This window comes from Homo sapiens, chromosome X (genome assembly GCF_000001405.40).
Source record: "Homo sapiens chromosome X, GRCh38.p14 Primary Assembly".
Classification (NCBI taxonomy): Eukaryota; Metazoa; Chordata; class Mammalia; order Primates; family Hominidae; genus Homo; species Homo sapiens.
Window position 1 is genome coordinate 155,061,338 of NC_000023.11, and position 22,504 is coordinate 155,083,841.

General features: G+C 40.3%; 3 protein-coding genes across 6 annotated transcripts in view, besides 7 other annotated features; 1 reads left to right on the top strand and 2 right to left on the bottom strand.

Annotated features, from left to right (window-relative positions):
• Nucleotides 1-284: 284 nt before the first annotated feature.
• On the bottom strand, nucleotides 285-9,799 carry CMC4 (C-X9-C motif containing 4). Its single transcript, NM_001018024.3, has 3 exons — nucleotides 9,357-9,799; nucleotides 2,629-2,696; nucleotides 285-654 (listed from the first exon to the last, which is right to left on the bottom strand). The coding sequence occupies exons 2-3, from the start codon at nucleotides 2,684-2,686 to the stop codon at nucleotides 506-508; spliced, it is 207 nt and encodes a 68-aa protein (NP_001018024.1). The 5' UTR covers nucleotides 2,687-2,696; nucleotides 9,357-9,799; the 3' UTR covers nucleotides 285-505.
• MTCP1 (mature T cell proliferation 1) lies at nucleotides 2,697-9,799 on the bottom strand. The gene is made up of 5 exons (NM_001018025.4): nucleotides 9,357-9,799; nucleotides 4,569-4,720; nucleotides 4,282-4,452; nucleotides 4,149-4,200; nucleotides 2,697-4,062 (listed from the first exon to the last, which is right to left on the bottom strand). Exons 2-4 carry the CDS (start codon nucleotides 4,671-4,673, stop codon nucleotides 4,153-4,155), a joined length of 324 nt encoding a protein of 107 aa, NP_001018025.1. The 5' UTR covers nucleotides 4,674-4,720; nucleotides 9,357-9,799; the 3' UTR covers nucleotides 2,697-4,062; nucleotides 4,149-4,152.
• Nucleotides 9,427-9,726: an enhancer, noted in NCBI's record as "active region_30074". NCBI's record gives its function as "activates an Ori minimal core promoter by ATAC-STARR-seq in GM12878 lymphoblastoid cells {active_cell/tissue: GM12878}" and the evidence as "EXISTENCE:reporter gene assay evidence [ECO:0000049][PMID:35858748]".
• Nucleotides 9,711-10,432: an enhancer, noted in NCBI's record as "H3K27ac hESC enhancer chrX:154299323-154300044 (GRCh37/hg19 assembly coordinates)". NCBI's record gives its function as "activates a minimal SCP1, AML or CMV promoter by ChIP-STARR-seq in primed H9 embryonic stem cells {active_cell/tissue: H9 hESC(primed)}" and the evidence as "EXISTENCE:reporter gene assay evidence [ECO:0000049][PMID:30033119]".
• Nucleotides 9,767-10,086: a silencer, noted in NCBI's record as "silent region_21122". NCBI's record gives its function as "represses an Ori minimal core promoter by ATAC-STARR-seq in GM12878 lymphoblastoid cells {active_cell/tissue: GM12878}" and the evidence as "EXISTENCE:reporter gene assay evidence [ECO:0000049][PMID:35858748]".
• The window catches only part of BRCC3 (BRCA1/BRCA2-containing complex subunit 3), a 51,570-nt gene continuing 39,236 nt past the window's right edge, over nucleotides 10,171-22,504 (top strand). For 2 of the 4 annotated variants that reach the window (XM_005274751.5, NM_001242640.2), the window contains exons 1-5: nucleotides 10,171-10,313; nucleotides 10,990-11,006; nucleotides 12,037-12,094; nucleotides 15,833-15,952; nucleotides 17,279-17,366. In XM_005274751.5, the coding sequence (XP_005274808.1) occupies nucleotides 10,191-10,313; nucleotides 10,990-11,006; nucleotides 12,037-12,094; nucleotides 15,833-15,952; nucleotides 17,279-17,366 (406 nt within the window). In that variant the 5' untranslated portion in view covers nucleotides 10,171-10,190. The remainder of the gene's footprint in view (nucleotides 10,314-10,989; nucleotides 11,007-12,036; nucleotides 12,095-15,832; nucleotides 15,953-17,278; nucleotides 17,367-22,504) is intronic. The other 2 variants (NM_024332.4, NM_001018055.3) reach the window with 1 other exon arrangement.
• Nucleotides 10,197-10,416: an enhancer, noted in NCBI's record as "active region_30075". NCBI's record gives its function as "activates an Ori minimal core promoter by ATAC-STARR-seq in GM12878 lymphoblastoid cells {active_cell/tissue: GM12878}" and the evidence as "EXISTENCE:reporter gene assay evidence [ECO:0000049][PMID:35858748]".
• Nucleotides 10,427-10,476: an enhancer, noted in NCBI's record as "active region_30076". NCBI's record gives its function as "activates an Ori minimal core promoter by ATAC-STARR-seq in GM12878 lymphoblastoid cells {active_cell/tissue: GM12878}" and the evidence as "EXISTENCE:reporter gene assay evidence [ECO:0000049][PMID:35858748]".
• Nucleotides 10,427-11,154: a biological region, named in NCBI's record as "H3K27ac-H3K4me1 hESC enhancer GRCh37_chrX:154300045-154300766".
• Nucleotides 10,433-11,154: an enhancer, noted in NCBI's record as "H3K27ac-H3K4me1 hESC enhancer chrX:154300045-154300766 (GRCh37/hg19 assembly coordinates)". NCBI's record gives its function as "activates a minimal SCP1, AML or CMV promoter by ChIP-STARR-seq in primed H9 embryonic stem cells {active_cell/tissue: H9 hESC(primed)}" and the evidence as "EXISTENCE:reporter gene assay evidence [ECO:0000049][PMID:30033119]".

Consider the following 22,504-nt stretch of genomic DNA (forward strand, 5'->3'; position numbering starts at 1 on the left):
GAGGCTGAGGCAGAATTGCTTGAACCCGGCAGGCAGAGGTTGCGGTGGGCCGAGATCGCACCATTGCACTGTAGCCTGGATGACAGAGTGAGACTCCATCTCAAAAAAAAAAAAAAAAAAAAAAAAAAGGGCGTCAAAATTGTGATGCTGGAAGTGAGTCCTTTCACCTAACATACCTCATATGACTTAAATTTGATGAATGGCACTAGTGGCTTGAACTTCAAGAGAATTCATTAATACCCTATATCTAATAGTCTTAAAATACATTTAGTACAAAACCCAAATTTTTCTCTTAAACAGGTTTATTTTAGCAGCTCAGTATATTACATTCTACATATTTGTCTTTTAATGTGTTTATATTTCTGCCTGTTCTGCATAGATGGCATATTCATTAACTTTTGTAGCTGACTTTTTCATTTGCTATTTGCTGCTACCTGGCCTGAAGAGTCAGGAGGATAAAAAAAATTCATTTGGTGGAAACATGGAGCAGCACTTCAGAAGAACTTTACTTTGATGCAGACTTCCGTGTTAGGTTTTCTTCCTCTTCTTTTTCAAATCCTGAACAGACGACAGATCTTCCCTTGGGATACTGAGCACAACACTTACGCAGTTCTTGGATGACAGCCTGACACTTTGATTCCATGTAGCTGTTGGCTGAAAAACATACAGGCAGACTCTAGTCATGATCTCATAGGACTAAGGTACAGGGAGGTTTAGATCAGTGCTTCCCACCCCTTTTCACTTTCAGTACCTATGGAACTGGAAGAAAGAAGATATACCAAAGTCCACTGAATTCTTTCTAATTTAGAGACCTGTCGACAGGTTCGTTAGGGAAAGTATGATTTACAAAGTGGTTGAAAGCTATTTTAATATATAATTTCCTTTAAGGTTAATAGCATGTATGCACCTTTTTCTAGGACATTGGTTTTTAACATCATTTTTATTACTGGTCACTAATTTGATGAATTAGGAAAATGCACATACACCACACATTATTTTGCATACAGTTTAAGCTGATTGTTGGACCTCCCCTACTAAGGCTGTGCATCAGGAATTGGCAAACTGCAGCCTTAGGGTCAAATTCAGCCGGTTTTTACAGCTGGGAGCTAAAAATGGATTTTAATTTTTAAAGGGTTGTAAACACACAACACATACACAATATATACAACAAAGGCCTTTGGCCTCCAAAGCCTAAAATATTACTTGTTTGGCCTTTTTCATAAAACATTTGCAGATCCCTACTATACATAAACACTAAGTTAAGGAGGACCTGACCTAAAGACTCTAGGTCAGCTGCAGTTAATGAGTCCCCCAGTACTAAAATGGAGTACATGGTAGTTAGCTCAGGATAGGAAAGACAATTCTGATTAGAAAGGCAGTATAGCAAGGTGGGTAACAGTCCAGATTTGGAGCTAGACCAAGGGCGGGGTTGGCGGGGGGTGTTCAAATTCCCACCATACCTCTTACTAGCTATGTGACCCTAGTCAAATTACATAACTTGTGTGTCTGTTTTCCCCTTTATGAAATGGGGGTCATAGTAGCATCTACCTCATGGATGAAAGGCTTAATACGTATAAAGTCCTTATAACGGTGCTTGTCATCTTTTAGTCTTTCCAGTTCTTAATCCTCCCACACTGCCAAGGGGGTGTCACCAGCTCTTTTTAACTTATTTTTTTCCCTTAGCTATGGGTTATTTCAAACAAGGTAAGGTTTTATTTGGGAGAAGGAATTAAATGCAAAAAACTTTTTCCTTTTCCTTAAAGTTGGAGGGAAGAAGTTTGACTAAAATGGCATTATTATACATCCAGATTTTAATCTAAAAGATTTTATAAAATATTGCTAACATCAAAAAATGAAAAGTCCAAGAATGAAAGCTAAAAGTCCAAGGAGATACACAAACAAAGGATTTCTTTGGTGGTGAATCTTTGGGGGAACTCTGAACATTTTTCCTTCATACCTTTCTATATTTTCATGACCTTCCATCTCCATCTATTACTTTACTAGTGAGGAAAACTTATTAAAATTTTTTCAAATTCAGATAGCCTTATAGCTTTTTCTATTTGCTCTTCTGGCAACAGTCATTCACTGATTAGAAAACTAAAATCCTCTAACATTTGGTCAAACTTAGCAGCTGGACAAATGGACAAATCACCTCAAATATGCTTTAGTCGAGATTCACTTCTGCCTTTAAGAGTTAGTTGATGACTTTGGCAGCCTGAATTCCAATTGTTATTTCAACCGCACCTCTTCCAGATTGCTTTTAAAAAGTGAATTGTCAGCTGCAGTGAAGTATAACCAACCAATTTAAAACTAGCCTTTTAGTAAAAACAAACAACAACAACAAAAAACCCTTTTTTTCCTAGCCCTAGCCCTAGGAAGTCTGAATTGTTCTAGGTAAGTGTTTAAAGATCTCCAGGTGATGCTAATCACCTGGAGTGAAAACCCCTAGCTTTGATCACATTACTTTTTATTTTCTGCATCTTTGATGATACAATGAAGAGAATCTTCAGGATAATTACATATACGTTACATTCTTAAAAAAGAGTTAATACAGATAAAAGAATAATTGGTCTCTTATAGTTAGTTCACAGTGGAAAAATATTTTTAAAGCATTTTACAATATACTACCTTGTAAACATTTCTGTATCTCACAGGCTTGCTTCTGGCACGGATCCTTCTGCGGCATATCCAGAAAACTAAAACAAGAAAAATGATTTTTATTTTTCTTTTTTCCATAAAGACTTTAAAGCCCCTCTACGTGGAATTTTCTTCTGAGACAAGCAGTATATGCCCTTACAATTGCTGGAAAATAATTACACTAAAAATACTCTTCCCAAACATAGGATGAATCAACTGTATTTTTATAATATCCATTTCATTAGGCTTGGAAGATATAAATAGCTTTACATGGAAAAAAAACCTTGAATTCAATCAACTCTTTTTGAATACTGTAAACCAACGTTAGGCTAGAGGAGCCGACGGCGCAGCCTGGCTCTATCATTCGCAGAAGAAACCCTTGATAAATGATTAAACTCCTTGAGCTTTTTTTATTACTCATATATAAAATGGGAATCATACCTACCTCAAAGCATTGACAGGAGGATTAAATGTGATAAAGTATATAAAGTACATACAATAGTGCCTGGAAAGGACTCCAATACATGGTAGCTATTATTCCCAAGACTTTTTTTTTTAAAGTAAAACCTTACTTTTAATGTATATAAACTGTTATAACTACTTTAACTCAGGAAATTCTTTACAAGTAGTAAATGTTTTCCTAGGAATCAGCAATATTTGGTGTTATTACTTCCTGAGAAAGGTGCCAGTTAAGCAGCTAAAATGGTTTTTCTTGAAGTTCTTATAGAAACCAGCTTATTTAAAATATCTGTAATCAGAGAATGAATTCAAGAGCCCACAATTTTGATCAGCAACTTCCAGTAATTTGAAGACACGATTTCAGATAGAAAAAAAGGCCCACAAGCCTTTGTAGCTAATTTCATCAATGCATATCTCTTTTCAGAGCCCTCTAAATACTCAGCAGATCCAAATTAGGTCAGTACTGGGATGGGAAACACTGGAGCAAAACCTAGGATATTTACAGGATGGGAGAAGGAAAGGCAGGTGAATTGCTGCAGGGCAAATAAGCGACAAATAGATGTTGATGCTGCTAGGAGCTGCTCTCTTCTCTCTAAATCAGTACCAAGTCCTTGGTGATCAGGGCATCTGTTCTGTAGAAGGTGCTGACTTTTGTGGGATTCATCAGATCCCAGGTCCAGCCGATGATGTCCATTAAGGGTTCTATGGCAATTTCCAAAGGAGTCAATTTCAAGTTACGGATCCTGACTAAGTGCTTTTGTTGACTTGCTTTCTGCCTACGTAACCTCTCTCTGCAGTTTCACTTGCAGTATTCTTCATGACCCTTGCTAAACTTCTGTTTCTTGAGCAGTTTTTCAACCCACTCCCTCCCCCCAGGCCCAAGGGTGGGTGCACTGCAGTAGTGGATGAAGTGATTGCCAAATACTGAACAGAACAAAGGAGCATATCTTCGTAGAATCCCAGCACCTGGAAAAAAAAATCATTAAAATCACCACAACTGAATAGAGCCAAAACAAAGAGGGGGAGGACAGAGGAGAAATAGAAATACATACCAGGTTAGTCATCAGGCAAAAGCTTAAGCAACAGCTCCTGTACTCCCCTGACCTGTCAGAAAAAGAAAAGTTTATGGAGTACTCTGTTACGAGAGTCCCAGTACAATGGAAAATAATTAAGCAACATGTGTACCATTAAATGATGCTGTATCTGCCACAAGCGAGAGTTGTTATCCATGTAGCGCTCCTCCGGGTAGAGTTGCCACATGAGAGGTAGCTGGGAGGTAAGAAGGTGACTTGGCCTAGCTGCGTCACCTAAGGGAACCTGAATTTGCTGGACTCGTGCCCTTAGGAAACTCGTCTCCTAATGGAAAGGAATGATCAAAAATAAAACCAAAGACTTCAGAATATTGAGACTGGAATAGAAACCAAGTTACTTGAAAGCAAAATCAAAGAAATAAGCAAAATGTAAACAGTTACCTCTTCCACGACGGCCACCCACGTGCGCTGGTATTCGTCGCGGTAGATACCCTCTTGGTGAACCCAGAGGTGATCGGGTGGAGCCCCCACATCCTCTCCTGCCATTCTGGGCTTTGGGTTCCAATTCTAGCCCTGCTTTTCTCCACCTAAGCCTGCAGCACCCGCGCACAGGACACAGGTGTGACTTTTTGGGTTTGAATGAACTCACCAGTAAGCAAGGTGATCTGGTACTAGCAACCACTAACCAGAACCAAACCTCATATGTCTATTTGCACAACCTAAATAGAACCAAGGACATCTGAAGCTTTCTGCAAGACAACTAAAGTGACACTCAGGCAGAGCCTCAGGTAGTGCTGCTGACTGCAAAGCGCTCAAGAATTTGGCTAGGTGAGGAGTTCTGTGGAAATGTAGGACTAGCACTACAGGAAGCTGGGCAGTGGTCTCACACATACTGCATTCACAAGCAGTGTCTGGCAAAATGTAGTTAGCAATAGAATATGCAAAGAGCGTGCCTAAAGACACACTTATTTTGGCAGGAAGGCAGTATAACAGACACATGCATGTCATATTCCCCAGGTAAAAGCCACTTCCAAGCAGTTTCCATTTTAAAAGGTAAGATTCTGAAGGACATATATGCATGTCTTTCAGAGTTGAAATTAAAAGTTTGTTTTAAGGGCAAATGATCTATTTATCAGTTTACTAAGAAAGTTTACAAATAGCGGATGGGCATTTCTAGAAGGGGATTTTCTTGTTAGGAAAAGTAAGCTAGCTTCATGGAATTTCTGAGCTGCAAGAGACTTTGGGGATCATGCTGATTTGGAGCTGAGTGAGTGCAAATGAAAGTTATCCATCTAGGTCCTTGTTTTATTTTAATAATTCTGCAGGATGTTACAGGAGCCCATTTTTCCATAGAGGACTAGGTTTAAATTTTGACTTCCTAAGCCAGAAGACCAGAAGCACATTTGAGAGGTGTAAAGGAAGCATACCTCCCAAAGCATTTGAGTGGTAGGGCAAACTCTATAACGATCCTCTGCCCAAGCCCCAGATATCATTTCAGGACCTCACAATAACTTGATGTGCATTTTGCATGAGTCAATCTTCTAGACCTTACTCAGAGCATTATAGCGCAGTTGTACTGTATTTCTACCTTTGGCCAGAGTATAGATACGGCACTGGGGAGCTGCCCCTCAAAACAAAGACCTGCTATTCTCATTAGGTGGGAAAAGAAATGCAGCGTGGGAGGGTGGTTGTTAGAGTCCTCAAAGTGAGACTGTCGAGAGCAACCAGATGCTTCACCCATTATACCCTGAGTGCATCTGACTCTGAGCCTGGTGTAAGCTCCTGTCTTAGTTTTCATACATATGTGCTCTCTCATTTCAAACTCGTCTAAACTTTCTCTTTAACCAAATCCTGATTTCTCTCAATGGCAACACCACCATTCCTGATCCTGCAGACTCAAAACTTATGAATTATCTTGGATTTCTTCCTCTTATTCAGTTGCTACATCCTATATGTCACCAATTCCAGCAGGCACTACAACTACCACTGCAGTTGAGACCAACTTTCCCCAAATACCAGGCTCATTTCTAGCTCCATACCCTTGCTCTTGTTTTCCACTTGCCTAAAATGCCTCCCTGGGCCTCTCTGCCTATCTTAGTGCTATTATAGCAGAGTCCAGGTGCCTGCCTCCTCTATGAAAACTTTAGAAAATTCTTGCCTCTTTTGACTACTGTAGCATTTATATTTAAACAAAGTCACCTTACACATTTGCTTTGCTTATTTCACAAGTCCTGTCTTCCCTAAAGCACAGTATTGTATTCTGCTCAATAGCAGGAATGATACAGTTCTGGGCACCCCAAGTCTCAGGTACTGGTCAAGCAATGTTTCAGTGAACAGGTGTATATGTATGGTGGGTAGGGAAGGGAAACAAAGGAACGCCACAGTGGTTGTCATGATTGGCTATGTATACGTGGGTAGAGATTGATTCTCTAGGCATAAGCCTCTGGCTATATATAATTTTTTTCCAAAGCCCCCCTTTTTTCCCATTTGCAGATACAGTTGTTTTGCCTCTCTTCCTTCCCAGAGCTTTGGAAAAGAGAAATACAAATAAAAACCTGGTAAATACTAATGTCAAAATAAAATATATTAAATTCGGATTTCAAGCACAGAAGACTTAAGTGTGGCCAATAACTGTTTTAAAAAAGTGGAAACCATGTGTTAAGGGTTTCAGGACCATCTCAATTTCATAGATAGGTCCTAGCAACAACCAACATGTTGACATTTAAATTTGTTTTGAATGGAAAACAAAATTGCATTGGTTATATTGACATTAAAAGGAAATAATGCCAGTGGAATAGAGGGCAAAGAGTTTGGAGATGATGGTCTGAGTTACTGAGTCACTACAAAGAGGCCTATGAGTCACTACAAAATATTCTCAGAAGAAAGGCAGTGTGATGTGCTGCTGTGACCCAAAGGTCAACATGCTGGGCATCAGCGGGATGAGCTTGGGAACCACCTCTCAGCACAGTATCCTGGAATTGTGTGTGCTAGCATTCAGAGGGCATGCAGGCCCAGAGAAAGACAACTGCAGTGATCAAGGGACAGAGAAGTCACCATATGAGCATGAACAAAGTCCTCAGCAGAGAAATGCAAAGGCTGAGGGAGAGGGATTCAGATCAAAGCCTATACAATCACAGGTTTTATGAGTGGAAAAATGTGATTCTTAGAAAACTTGCTCCCAACATTTTCCTTGGTCAAATAAGTTTGGGAATCTTGGAGAGTCATAAAGCACATTAGTGTAGTAACTGTTCTGGCAAGTTATGCAGTAAAGAAACTTTATGTTAACATTTCCCAAATTTATTTGACTAGAGAACATTTTATTTGCACATGATACTTGTTTACAAAATTCAGGACTTCTCGAACTAAGACGAATCTTTTAAAACCTCAACATAGACTTAGGTACAAGGTGCAATACAATACATGGAATATAAACTTGTGCAACTCAACTCAAGGAATACTGCCAGCTACAAATACAAATGAATTCCAAAAATGTTTAGATAACTGCATAACTTTATCATCCACTAGAAGAGATTGTCCCCATGAGGGTCACCTTGATTTCGGGGCCAGAGAGCACACTGGCCAAGACAGACAATTTCTTAGTAAGGCATTTTGTAAATTAGGTTTTAAATGGATGACATATAAGATAGAAGGGCTTCCTTAGGTAGTAATCTAAGTAAAACTATCATTTTTCCTTTACAGAATAAATTCTTTTGTGTCTTTTTTAAAAAAGTATAGTTTGCTTTAATTGCCAGGTTGATGAACAGTTTTTAAACATTGATCAGTTGAATACACTTATTTTATTAGAAGTCAATTAATAAACTCGTCCAATTACAATGAGTGAAATTACCAAGAACACAGGCCCAGGCCTGTGTATGAGTCCTGAGTCTGTCACTTACTAGCTTTGTGACCTTGGACAAGTTAACGTCTCTCCACCTCAGTTTCCTGAGGTGTAAAATGAGAATTAAAGAACATATTAATCATGATAGTCTTTATTTAGCATTTCCTATATGTTTACATATATTGACTCATTTAATTTTCACAATCTTCATAGGGCGCTATGAGGTGGGCAGAATTATTATCATCCCCACTTAAAGGTGAGGAAAAGAAAGGCACAGAGAAGTTAGGTAACTTGCTCAAGGTCACACAGTGGGGAAGTTGTTGAGCTTGACTCCAAATGGGGCAGTTTACATGTACCAGGCATATAAATGCTTAGTATCTAGCATATAATAAGCTTGCCATAAATGTTAATAATTTTGTTCTACTCCAGTTAAATGCCTGGAGCTGTAAAAGGCAGCCATGAGCATTAGAAAAGTTAGTGAACCTCATTCTGGAATATGAGATTGACTACCGCCGATAACAAACAAAAGGTATTTTTCTTCTTGAAAGTGCCTAAAGGCACTATATCCCATCACCAAATGTTAATGTCATAATAATAAGAACAGCCGTTCCTGCTCCATGAGGACGGGGCATACTAGCCACAAACAGTAACTGAAAATAACATATGATATAAAATTGAAACAAGAGAAAATTTAGACAGGTCCAATGTAACTGCACACGAAAATTTTCCAACCTTCATCATGATCAAATTAATTATAGAAAGATGTGCCATGTGATCCTTACAGATCGTTAGGTAAAAACGGAGGCTGCTGGCGTGCACATTACAGATCGTTGCACTGGATGGGGACCCTATGTGTGGGGAGACTTGGGTTGGAACTGACTTGGGAGAAAAGAGCAAAGCATCAACACTTCAAGTAGCACCTTGGGAATGTTCCCTTTCCAGTACTGCCATACCTGCCTGGCTTCAAAACTACACAAAGTAGAAAACCAAATCAAAGACACGAACACGGACGGGCTGTGGAGGCGGCACGGCATATATTGTGCTTTGATTTAGAATCGCTTTCAAAATCCACGTGTGATTCCTAGACTTGTGAGTTGGAAGATCTGTACTTTTATCCTTGGCACGTTTGACATACCTCGAAATAAAAATTACTTTTACATATATTTTTACTGTCTGATATCATCGAGACAAGGAGACCCGAGGAAACTTGCATTCTGGATACCTAATGTGATACATCCGAACTTGAATAAAAACTGAAGTTCTCCATTTCCCCTTCCCTGTATCCAACAAATAGCTACCTAAAAGCCTTTGTAGAAAGTAGCAGCAGCCAAGCTTAAGAGTGATACTTTTTCAGATACAGTATAACACTGTTTCTGCAAAAGGTTACTCACATGAATATAATGTTTCTTGGGCTAATTAATCCGCCTTGAGAACAGCTAGGCTAAAACTTCCAGGTCTCCCACCCTGGGCCACTCAAGCCAGGATCGCGACGTGAGCCCGGGGTGAGCCGAGGGGCATCCCGGGCCGAGGTCACTCGAACCGAAGTTATGAGGCGCGGGCCGGCAACCGGAAGTGGTCCAGGGAGAGTTGTACGAGATTCGGGGGCTGTGACTTGGAAATAAAACAAAATAAAATAAAACCTTAACTGTTTTGGGACTGACTTTCAAAAGAGCGTCCCCCTGGCTCAAGAGGCCGGCGTTCGCGGAGATGTCGTCTTAAAGGGCTGTCCCCCAAGCGTGTAGGCCGCGCACGGGTCTCCTTAGCGGGCGGGCAAAATGGGCGCCGGTACTCGGGAGGCGCCTGCCCAGGCGCCCGGGCGCCGCTCACAGAGTACGTCCGCCTGCGGCCCCAGAGCGCCGCCTCCCTGCCGCCCCCGCCGCCCGGCCTGACGCCCGGACCGCGGCCGGCCACCGCCCTCCGCCCCGACGGCCACGCCTGCCCCAAACCGCGCGGGCGTTTCCCAGGTGCTGCTGGGCGGGCCCCGCCCCCGTGCCCCAAGGCCCGCCCCCGCGCGCCAGCCGCGCGCCCGCTGCCCCCTCCTCGCCCCCACAGCCCCGCCCCCACAGCCCCGCCCGCTCCCTAAGCCCCGCCCCCTAGGAACCCGCGCGCCGAAGGCCAGGCCTGGGCGGAGCGCACAGCGCTGGGCGCTGGGGAGGCTGCGCCGCAGCACCCGGTTGGTCAGGACCAAGTGGGCCCGAGGCGGACGTGAGAAGGGTCGGGCCAAGATGGCGGTGCAGGTGGTGCAGGCGGTGCAGGCGGTTCATCTCGAGTCTGACGCTTTCCTCGTTTGTCTCAACCACGCTCTGAGCACAGAGAAGGAGGAAGTAATGGGGCTGTGCATAGGGGAGGTGAGTAGGTCTGTTAGCCTGGATGGAACCCTGCTGAGCAGTCCCAGTGTGTCCCCGGGGTGGGTGCCGGCAGCTCCCAGGGCTGCGGAGGCCACAGGCATCCTCGATTTAGGTCCTTGGACACCCTTTACATAGCTCTGTCGCGGGGAGCCCCGTTTCTTCTGGCCGCCTGACACTTGTTTAGTCTCCTGCGAGCCCCCGGCGGTCTGTACAGGCCCCGGGAGCCTTGCCCTTTCTCCTGTAGCCTGGGGCTTCTCTTTAGATCTGCGCTTTTCGCCCGGTTGACCAAAACTGCAAGGCAGGTCAGAAAGACACTGGAGTATAATGAGGATGTCCGGGTATTACGACGCAGCAGCTGACCACAGTTAGAGCCCCTTGCCTCGCCTCGAGTCTTCTGTCTAGGGAGCAGAGATATCAACCAAAGCATTTGAAGGGTATCGAAGAGCCTAACAGAAGGTGCGGGGCTTGAAGGAAGCAAAAGTTTCCGCTGCATTGTGTTGAGGAGGGGCCGAAGAGGATGAGGAAATACAGTTTAGCTGTTTACAGTCTAAAGTAATTCTCCAGTCTTTCATACCATGTGCGTGAACACATGACCTAATTGTCATATAATCTGCATCCATATATGTCAAACAAACGTAATGTGATCAATAATGTTTTTTGCTTTTTCCCACTCTAGTTGAACGATGATACAAGGTAAGACTGTATTTGTTTACTCATATCTTATAATCTCTAAGTCATTGTTAACCTAAAATTATGGCGACTTTGGCAGTATTGTGTCCGGATCGTGTCTTAAATTAATTACCATTATCACTCCGGGGCTCCCTTAATGATACAACCTTGAACTTTGGTTTCTGCCTTACCTCCTATTCAGTTGAGATATGGGATAAACATCTTAATAAGCATTATCATAATTGTTGCGTTTTAGGGGTGAGACAGAGCCTCACTCTGTCGCCCAGGCTGGAGTGCAGTGGCGCGATCTCTGCTCACTGCAACCTCCGCCTCCCAGGTTCAAGCGATTCTCATACTTCAGACTCCCGAATAGCTGAGATTACAGGTGCCCGCCACCACACCCGGCTGTCTTTTTTTTTTGTACAGACGGGGTTTCACCATGTTGGCCAGGCTGGTCTCGAACTCCTGGCTCAAGCAGTCTGCCCACCTCGACCTCCCCAAGTGCTGGAATTTCAGGCGTGAGCCACCACACCTGGCCTTGCTCAGTGTATTTCATGTTCTGTCTCCCCTTAAATGCCAGTGAGATATCAGTAATTTTCTTAGTGACAGAGAGCATATACGTTTAGAGGCATTTCCCCATTGATCCATTCCTTCACGTAAATTGACAGTGACATTGCCTTTCCTCCTGATGGACCTCAGTGATCTCAGAGATCCCCAGTAGCTTCAATACTTGACGTGGTGAAACCTTTCGGTAACATTTTAATTTAAACTTCAAATCATACCATAGTATACTTCTCAAGCCCACCTCCTTAGTTCCCAGGATTCCAGGAATTTAGCTTTGTCCATTATAACTTTATACACTCAGCCACTTGTGCATGTGTCCCAGATTGCTTCTAACAGATAGAGTGCAGCTCTAGCCTCAATTCAGTTTCCCTCCTCTTCTTTGGTCTCTGCTAAGATTTCATTGCAAAAACAGTTAATCCTGTTATTTTGCTTTAATTCCTTTTTATATTCCAAACCCCACTTCCTTTTTTTTTTTCTAATTTATTCCCAGTAGGAGTGACTCCAAATTTGCATATACTGGAACTGAAATGCGCACAGTTGCTGAAAAGGTATGTGTGCTAAAATTTTGCATGATGGAAACTTGCAGTTGGGGAAAGATTTCTGTAATCCAGTGATCTCAGCCAGAGTATGCGGTTTCTGGCTGGATGAGATATTCTTTCTAGTAAAATCAGATGAAGAATCTACTCACTAGGAATGGGACCTAATTTTCTGTTCTTTGTAGCAAATTGTCTCTACTTGATCAAGATTAATAATCACTGTCAGTACCACCCTCTTGCTGCTCTCCTTGCTGTCACTGCCTGTTTTCTGGCCCTTCTCCCACTTTCCTTGATACTTTGGCATCCTTGATACTTTCACATCACTATTACCTCTTTATCTCGAATTCCAACATCTACTCATGCAGCCCTCTCTTCTTAAACAGGCAAACTGACCATAGCATCATAGTTCTTAGTCTGCCTTGACTTTTTTCCTATCTGCACTCCTACACCATCTTTTGTGGCATGCTCTAGCCTTGATGGTCTAGTGTAATGCTTCTCACCTAATCGTGGTATCGGACCAGTTAACGTTTCCCCCAGTCTGTCACAGACCGATGCTTTTGTAAAATACAAAAAAAATGAATTACTTCCCCTCCTCCCACCAAGTTATCAGGCCACACCTTCATCTACTTATTACTACTAGTTACAAACTTCTCCACCTTAATCACTTTGCATCTCTTCCCATATCAAAGAAATAAGTCCTCTTCCTATCCAAAGCTGCAGCTTCTTCAGAGACCTTGTTTATCAAATGTTCTGTCTCTTTTCTGGGTCTTCTCCCTGTCACCTGGTTCTTTTAGGATAAACATATGCTTAAATTACTCTCATTTTCAGAAAGGAAAGCTACTTCTTAATCCCGTATCTTCCTGTAGTCAGTACTCTTATATCCTTCCTTTAATAGCCAGACTTCTTAAAAGAATGGGCTACAATTACTACTCCTTCACCTTCCCCAGTCAAACCCACTGAGGTCTGGTTTCTAATTCTACCTTCGGTGGATTATTTCCTGGTGCTTATCTTCATCTTTCTCCTTGAATCTCTAAACTCTCATGAGTTTTTGTTGGTTTTGTTGTATTGCCTTTATTCCTGTTTCCCCCTTCCCACAATCCTTTGTGGACTCCTCTTCCTCCTCTGTCTATGCATTAAATATTACTCATTCCTCTTAGGCACTGAAATCTCTGACTAAAGCAAGAAAGAGAGAAAGAAACAATTCACCCTGGGCATCAGTTACTAAGATACATTCCAATCTTAATAATGTAATTTTATTATTCAAGATTTCATGCCCTCGTCTTGAGTTTTATGTCAGTTTGTACTGTCTAAATTAGATATTAAACTTTATTAGTTAAGCTGCCTTTTTAGTGTTGCATAGTGTATTTTTTATCCTTTTATTTTTAGCCTTTCTGTATACTAATATTTAAAATGTGTCTCTTGTGTCTCTTATTAGTGGTAAATACTTTTTAAAAAATCCAGTGTGATAATCTTTTTAAGTGGAGTATTCAGTTGAAAAACAAAACAAAAATAAACCACAAAAAAAGAAATATCATGTGAGCCACGAATGTGATCCATATACATAATTTTAAATTTTTTAGTAATCACAGTAAAAAGGAATAAATGAAATTAATTTGAAGGGTGTATTTTAGTTAACCTAAGTATCTGAAGGATTATTATTTTAATATGTAGTGAATATTAAGAAATGTTGAGATATTTTACATTCCTTTTTTCTCTTTTGTGTTGTCTTTGAATTCCATGTGTATTTCATACTTGCTGCATATCTGAAATCAGACCTGTTGCACAGTGAAAATCTATAGCTTGTTTCAAAAGCCTTCTCTCAGATTTCACCCTTGTCCCTTCAACATCTGATAATGCTAAGCCCACTCTTTCCCCTGGCCCTTCTTGTTCTTCCCCACACTAAATGTGGCCACTCCCCTTGATTCAGGCCAAGACCTCTGCTCCCTTTCTCCACACCTTTTTTGTCCACTCATAAATGCTTTATTGATTCCTGCATTGATGCTGTTTGAGTCTAAGCTATAATCCCACTTGCCTGCTAAAAATTGCCATATTGTATATCTCTCATCCCAGATTATCTCATCTGAAAACAAGCTCATCTTCTTTCCTTCCTGACCCTTTCTAAACTTAGATCTGCCTCACACGTTCTACCTAGTTTCAACCTTGAAACTTTAGAGTCCTCTTTGACCGTTTCCTGTCCACCATCACCCATGGTCCATAAGCTACCAAATCTTGTAGATTCATTCTTTTTAATGGGTCTCAAATCTGTTTCTTCCATCTCTGCCATCTGCTTAGCCCAGTACTTCATTGTTACTTCATGTACAGTTTATCTGAAATAATTTTTTTTCCTTCGAGTTCATCCTGCAAATTATGGCTTGGCATTTGAGGTCTTGTACATTCTCACTCCAACTTTCTTAGCTTTGCCATCTGCCATTTCACCTCAAGCTCTGTATCTAAATCAGTTGGGTAAGTTGTCTCCCAGACACCTCATTCACACTTTACTACTTCCATTCGGCACCTGTAGAAAATCTGTTCCCCCCACTTCCCACAATAATCAAGGAATGGATACACTTGTCTGCCTTTTCTATGAAGATTTTTTTCTTTTTTAGATTCATATTCTGCTTATGTAAAAGATTACTTTTCTAATATAAGTGAGTTCTTTCCTCTGAGCTCCTGTATTAGTCTGTTATCACACTGTAAAGAACTCTCTGAGGCCGGGTGCGGTGGGTTATGCCTGTAATCCCAGCACTTCGAGAGGTCGAGGCAGGCCTGAAGTCAGGAGTTTGAGACCAGCCTAGCCAATATGGCTACCAAAAAATACAAAAAGCCGGGCATGGTGGCGTGTGCCTGTAATCCCAGCTGCTGAGGAGGCTGAGGTGGGAGAATCGCTTGAACCCAGGAGGTAGACGTTGCAGTGAGCTGAGATTGCACTACTGCACTCCAGCCTGGGCGACAGACTGAGACTGTGTCAAAAACAAAAAAACAAAAAAACAAAAAAAAAACTCCCTGAGACTGGGTAATTTATAAAGAAAAGAAGTTTAATTGACTCACAGTTCCACATGGCTGGGAGGCTTCAGGAAACTTATGATCATGGTGGAAGGTGAAGGGGAAGCAAGGCATATCTTACATGGTGGTAGGAGAGAGAGAGAGTGAGGGGGGAAGTGCCACACTTTTAAACCATCAGATCTCCTGAGAACTCACTCTCACACTATTATGAGAACAGCGTAGGGGAAATCCACCCCTACAATCCAATCACCTTTCACCAGGTGTCTCTCCTGATACGTGGGGTTTACAATTTGAGATGAAATTTGGGTGGGGACACAGAGCCCAGCCATATCAGCTCCTATGGCATTGACTTACTACATTATCTTAGTGGAGTTTCATGAATGACAACTTGCCACTCAACCATGTCGTTAGCACATTGAACCCTTTGTCAGTGCTCTGATTTATATTCCTTTGTGCAATACAGTGTTTTGTACATAGTTGTAAGTCAAATAATTACTAGTTGATCATCCTAAAAGTCCTTCCTTGATTTAAATATTAGCATATATATTTTATATTTTTGTGTCTGAAATGTATATATTGAGGTTGGGTGTCTTTTATTTGAAACATTTCATTATTCGTGAGAAAAGTGTCAGTTTTCTAAAATGGAATATTTTATCTGATATTATAATAAAATGCAATTCTATAGTTGAAGGGGGATGTGTTATTGGAGAGAGCTGTAAGTAACCATTTCTGTGGATTTTCCTTTAGGTTGATGCCGTCAGAATTGTTCACATTCATTCTGTCATCATCTTACGACGTTCTGATAAGAGGAAGGACCGAGTAGAAATTTCTCCAGAGCAGCTGTCTGCAGCTTCAACAGAGGCAGAGATATCCTTACTGGTCAATAGAAGCTTTTATGTGCTCTGGGGTTCCTGGGCCGCATTGCTGCTTGCTGCAGTCATCCTGCTTTAGGTGGTTTCACAAGTTTTCTTCCCTTAGATCCAATTGTTTGGTTTTTAGAATTTCTCTCTATTTCTCCTTTTGAGTGGCTTTTATTGGAAGAATTAGAAATTTTCTGACATTCCTGCTCCTAAATGCCAAAAGATCTCAGGGTCAAACACTGCGACAATGAACTCTGTGTGGAGTCCCCTCCATCTTCCTCCCTAGTCTTCTCTCCATTCCTCCCTGCCCCTCCTTCCAGTTTTCCTAGTATCATTTAATTTCTAGGCCATTTACTATCTTGGTCTCTATCCTCTTGAGAGATTCTCTTTTGTGACTTCCTCTCAAAAAATGCAATGCTGGGAACTGAATGCAGTGTTTCATGTTACATATAACCCCAAAATGATCAAATGGGGCATTTGTTTCCTGTGATTTGTTTCAGTATGATTCCGAGTGTCCTGGCCGGCGCCTCGTAAGTGAATATGAAGCTGATCCCCATCCCACTTTTGTTTTCTTCAGGGATCCTTTCCCTGGCCTCTCGTAGTTTCCTCACATGCTTCCGCTCATCAGTGATCTGCTGAATGCTCAAGTGGGACCCTCAAGTGCAGATATGCAGGCTATCTCTCTGCAGCTCTCCTCTCTGGTCCTCTGCCCTGCAAACTTCAGCTGCAATTACTATTTGTTAAGCACTTACTAGGTGTTTGCCAGGCACTATGCTAAACACCGTGTGTGGATTATTGCACTTACTCTTCACTGCTCTGAAACATTATTCCCCTGCCTCAGTCTGCAGCTGAAGAAATGGGCTAAGAGAAGTTAAGTAGTTTCTCTTGGCATTTGAAAACTTGAAAATATATCTTAGAAATATTGTTTCTCAGACTTAGTTGTATAAAAAGGATTATTATATTTTAATATAAATAATTTGCAGGAAAACTAATGAGCATTTTACAGGATAACAGCAGCAGTCTTGAAAGTGACAACTTCTGAAGATTTAGAAAAGCTTTTCAGATAGCACAGTGGTAAGGATTCGAGTGATGAAACATCAGCTAAATTAAACTTGAGGATGTAAGTATATATGGCATTGGAAACCATGTGGATTCTAGTTTAGAAATTTTGGCTTTAAATGGGCATTATGGGAAACTCAGCATTAATCTTATTTCATTCTTTTGTTGCCATTAAATTGTAATAAGCTTATTTTAAACTTCAGGGTGCTTTCTGAGCCCTTATTAGCATCATAAATTTTGTTCCCACATTTTTAAAGTACCTTGACAGACACACAGGTTGGCTGAACTGACAGGCCGCCCCATGAGAGTTGTGGGCTGGTATCATTCCCATCCTCATATAACTGTTTGGCCTTCACATGTTGGTAAGTATCATGGGGTTGCAATGTTTATTGTTTTCAGAAATTAATATCATGTTTCCTTTTCCATTACATAGGGTATGGTTATTTTAAACCAAAATTTGACTGTCCTTTAGCAGATGTCATTATTTTGATTTATTTTATTATGTATTAAAAGTAATGATTTATGTCATATTGATTGTTTTTAATAAGTCTGTCAGTTGATATAAAAAAATTAAACTGTTAACTGAAAATTGCTGATTGCTGAATATCATTACTGTCCAGGACACTCCCATTCTGCAGACTTAAAGATATTAAAGGGTAAAATTTGCAAAATTGATTTTTACAGTTGCTGTTTACGTATAGTCCATTGGGGCTCTCAATATACATCTTTACCCTTCTAATCAGTGTAATGTAACTAAATTGCTTTCTTTCTACCTTTACCCCTTTTTGAGAATCATGGTGGGTTTTTTTGTCCGTATCTGCGTCTCCAGAAAGAAGGAGAATAACTTGGGGAGAGTGAACTAATATTCATGAGCACTTAACTATGTGCTAATGGTTTACAGATGTTTTCTTCTCTAATCCTTGTGGCAACCTGTGAGTTAGAGATCTTACCCCCATTGTACAGAAGGGTAAACAAAGACTCACATGAATTAAGTAAGTTGCAGAGCTGAGGTTAGAACCCAGGTCTGACTCCCAAGTCTGCTCTTCCCACTGTGCTACTACTAGTCATATGGGTTTGAGTTGATAGCAAGTTATATATTCATCTACACTGTGATACGAATGGCAAAAAGTCATCAGTGGTACAGTCCCAGACTTTAATGAAACACGAGTGGTCCTAAGAAATACAGTATTAGTTCTCAGTCTTGGGTGGGTGAGGATGTTTCTCAGAATCACCTGAGAAAGCTTTCATAAAATGTGCCTGCCCCAAATTAATCTTTCCTAGACCCTAACTCAAACCTACTGTAACAACCTCTGGGAGTAGGTGTTAGGTGGGGATATTGTTGAACGCCCCTAGTTAAATACTGATTTAGAATAAGGGAGATGACAGATCTACCTTCTCCCAGATTTGCCAAACTTTAACATTTGGCAACACTTGCTGTATCATTCTCTTATACATATATGTATATACGTGTGTGTGTCTGAAGATAATTTTTTCCTGAAGTATTAGATTAAGTTGCAGACATGGTACCTTTTACCCCTACTCTTCACTATGAATTTCCTAAACACAAAGAAATTCTCTTACATAACCATGATACATTTATAAAAATTGGGAAATTACCATTCATATAATAGTATTATTTAAATTACAGACCTTATTCAGATTCTTTAATTGGTTCACTGATGTCCCAATAAAGTTGTTTTTATAACTATTAATATATTCCTGTAAAGCCTTAATGTCACTGAAAAAATTCAGTGGCTGATTTGTTTTCCTGTCATTGTCAACACTGAAATCAGATTGGCCTAAAATTTTTCCCATGGTAGTGCCATCAGCCACTAATGAAGAAAAGTTTGACACATATATTACTGAACAATTATTTTCACTATAGTAATAAGTTACAATGGGAAATAAATACATAAAATTTGGTGGTAAAAAGAAATTCCCTACGAATTTAAGGAAAAATACCTTATAAGTATCTGAAGCAGAGCACCCAGAAAATTTCAGAGTTCAGAGAATAATTGAATTCTCTCAGGGGAGAAGATCTGAGCCATTAAACAAGAACCCAGGTAGGAGTTTGTAATGCAGCAGTAACAGTAGTGGGAACATTTCAATCTTTATAGCAGTCAGAAAAAAAAAAAAGGGATACTGCAGAAAGTAACTGAAAAAAATCAACTCTAAATTATGAAATGATTAAGAAGCCATGTGCAAATAATTCAAGACAAAATAGATTTGGAGTCCAGAGTATAGATATCCTACCTGAACAAGAATTAGAATATGCAATAAGGGCTATGTGTAAAGAAAGTTTAGAGAGTTACCATAGCATGAGGGTTGGGAATACCAGCTTTGATTTAGTTGGAGACTAGGTCTGTGTTAGCATCTTGTTTCAGTCACTTACTAGTTGAGAAAATATTTTAACTTGTCTATGCCTCTGTAGTTTCCTCTCTGTCAGAAAAGAACATAGTCTCAGAGTTAAGAGTAGTATATGAAAATCATGTATACAACACCTTGTCCCACACTTACCATGGTAGCTGTTCACCTATAAAATGAGCAACAAAAGAAAGACACCAAAGCATTTATTTGTAAAACTCTCAAGGACATGGAGAGAGTATATGAAATATCTATATTGAAGGGCAGACAATATTCAAAGGATTAACAATGAGGACACATCAGGTCTCTCATTTGAGATCCTGAGATCTCAAAAATATTTACAGGCCGGGCATAGTGGCTCACGCCTGTAATCCCAGCACTTTGGCAGGATGAGGTAGGCAGATCACTTGAGGTCAGGAGTTGGAGACCCACCTGGCCAACAAGGTGAAACCCTGTTTCTATTAAAAATGTAAAAATTAGACAGGCATGGTGGCGGGTGCCTGTAATCCAAGTTACTGGGGAGGCTAAGGCAGGAGAATTCACTTGAACCTGGGAGATGGAGGTTGCAGTGAGCTGAGATTGTACCACTGCACTCCAGCCAGGGTGACAGAGCGAGATTCTGTCTCAAAAAAAAAAAAAAAAAAGTACAGTAATGAAACTATGGGTACAACTAAAGAAAAATAATTGCCCAACTGAGCTGGCATTCACACTCATCTCCAAACAGCCTTTTAAGAAGTAGTACCTTATAAATGTATGCAATTATGATTTGTCAATTAAAACTAGTATTTAAGAAAGTAAATAAATGGGAAAAAAAGAATTGAGTCTAACAGAGGCACTGTATTGCATTACAAACCTCAGAAAAAGTGAGCAATGAATAAAAACTAACTACCTTTAACAGGAAAAGAATTCCAAGCTGTGGTAAAGAGTGACAAGTGAGAAAGTGAAATCTTTTTTTCTGTTAAAGGAAAGGTATAATTTTAGTTGGTGAGGGAGAGTGACGTGACCATTTCAGTGCTTTTTATGATAAGGTAATTAGTGCAATTAGGTTAAGTTCCAGTGGGCTAGGTAACACTGTTTTGAACATAATTTAAAGGGATCATTCCATAAAACGATTCTTCAGGAAATTTACTGGATACCTGTATGGAATAATAAGGTCATGGCTCCTGCTGTCCTGGACCTTAATGATTTTGTTGGGGGGAAAACAGAGTACTAAAGGGAAAACAATGAGTAACATGATAAAGAAGAAATGAGATGTAGTCCATATAGAACATTTGTACTTGTAAATATAAACAGGGGAAGCATCTATAAAAATAAAAGCCTTGGGATTAGGAAAAAGGAAGAATAAGATGTTACTAAGACAAGCTGCAAACCTAAAGACTTGAACAAAAACTAACAAACTAGGTTAAGCTGTATGGGGAAAATAAAGAGCAGCCATCATCAGCTAAAGGGTAAGTGAGAGAAGATAGGTCATTTATTCTATAACAAAAGGCATAGTAACTAAGGAAACTCTAATGAGGCTGAATTATGTGCCCTACCGTAGCAACATACATGTACACAGGATAAAGTTTTACATGTAAGGAATGGAAACTAGTTGAGATAGAAGAACTTGATAACCCACTTTCAAAATTTATTCATTCCTTCAAAAGAACATAAAGTGAGTTGGCCTTCGGTTGAGGTTGGCAGTGGAGCGTGGAGGGGACAGTGAACAAAAGCAAGGGTGAGGTAGGACAAGCACACACACAAAGACTTTAAAATTTCATCTTAAAAGAATTTTATTCTTACAGAAAAATTTCAAGAATAGTATGAAGAACCAGATGCAACAATTGTTAACCTTTGGTCGCATTTGCTTTATCATATTCTCCCTCCCTCTCCAACATACACACATGCACATGTGCACACATGCTATTTGAGAGTGAGTTGCAGACATGATGCTCCTTTACCTTTAAATACTTCATTGTGTATTTCTCAAGATCAAGGGTATTTATTTACATAACCACAGTGCAATTGTCAAAATAAGCACATTTAATAAATACGATCATATTGTGCAAACTACACAGAACTTATTCACATTTTGCCAGTTAACTCAATATTGTCCTTTATGGCAGTTTTTTCTTTCCAATACAGGATCCAATCTCAGATCATGCATGGCATTTAGCCTTCATGTCACTTTAGTCTCCTTTCCTCTGGACCAGCTCCTTAGACTTTTTTTCCTCTTTCGTGACATAGACATTTTAGGAGATGGAATGTTGCTCCATTTGACTTTGTCTGCTATTTGCTTATGACTAGATTCAGGTTATGCACTTTTGGCATGTGGTGCTAGGCCTTTGTCAGCGTCTCCCATCTGGACGTGCGTGATTTCTCTGCCTCAAACTAACATTTTCATGCCACTGATGAGGCAGAATTAACAAATGTGAGTCAAATGGGAAGAGGTGATAACAAGCCTCTTCTCAGCCTGTCCATTTGTTGAACAGATACCGAGGACTTGGCCATGCCAATTTGTAATAATATCTGCAAAGCCAATTCCAAAATTGGGAAGCTGTGCATGTTCCATGATATCTCTGATCAGTATGCTCCTACTTTTTGCAAAGGCAAACCCTTTCATTTTCAAACCTCTGAATTCCCCGTTTCTGCCTTCATGTTCAGCAATGTTATCTAACATTGCTTCCCACTTTAATAGAGAAAACAGGAACCATTAGAAAGGAATTTCATCTGTTTCTCTTGATTCACCTACTTGTCACTGTGCCTCTCTTCCCCTTTTCCCTCCTATTTTATCTTTGCCTCCTACATTCTCAAGAACCTTACTCTGTTTTTTATGCCCCTCTTTTTTACACATCTACATACTTTGCCACTATACTGGATTCTTCCCATTATTATTTCTTTCAACAAATTTGAGTGTCTACCATGTGTCAAAGTGCTGAAGATAATGAATGAGAGAAACACGGTCCCTGCCTTCATGGAGCTTTCAAATATGTTCATACTTCACATTGAGGAAAACAACAAAAACACTCTAGTTTGGCTTCTATTAAAGTGGATCTTGCTAGAGTCATCAATGGTATCCATGTTGAAAATCTAGTGACCATTTTAAAATCCCATCTTATAAAACATTGACACTGTCAGGTACTCTCTACTTATTGAA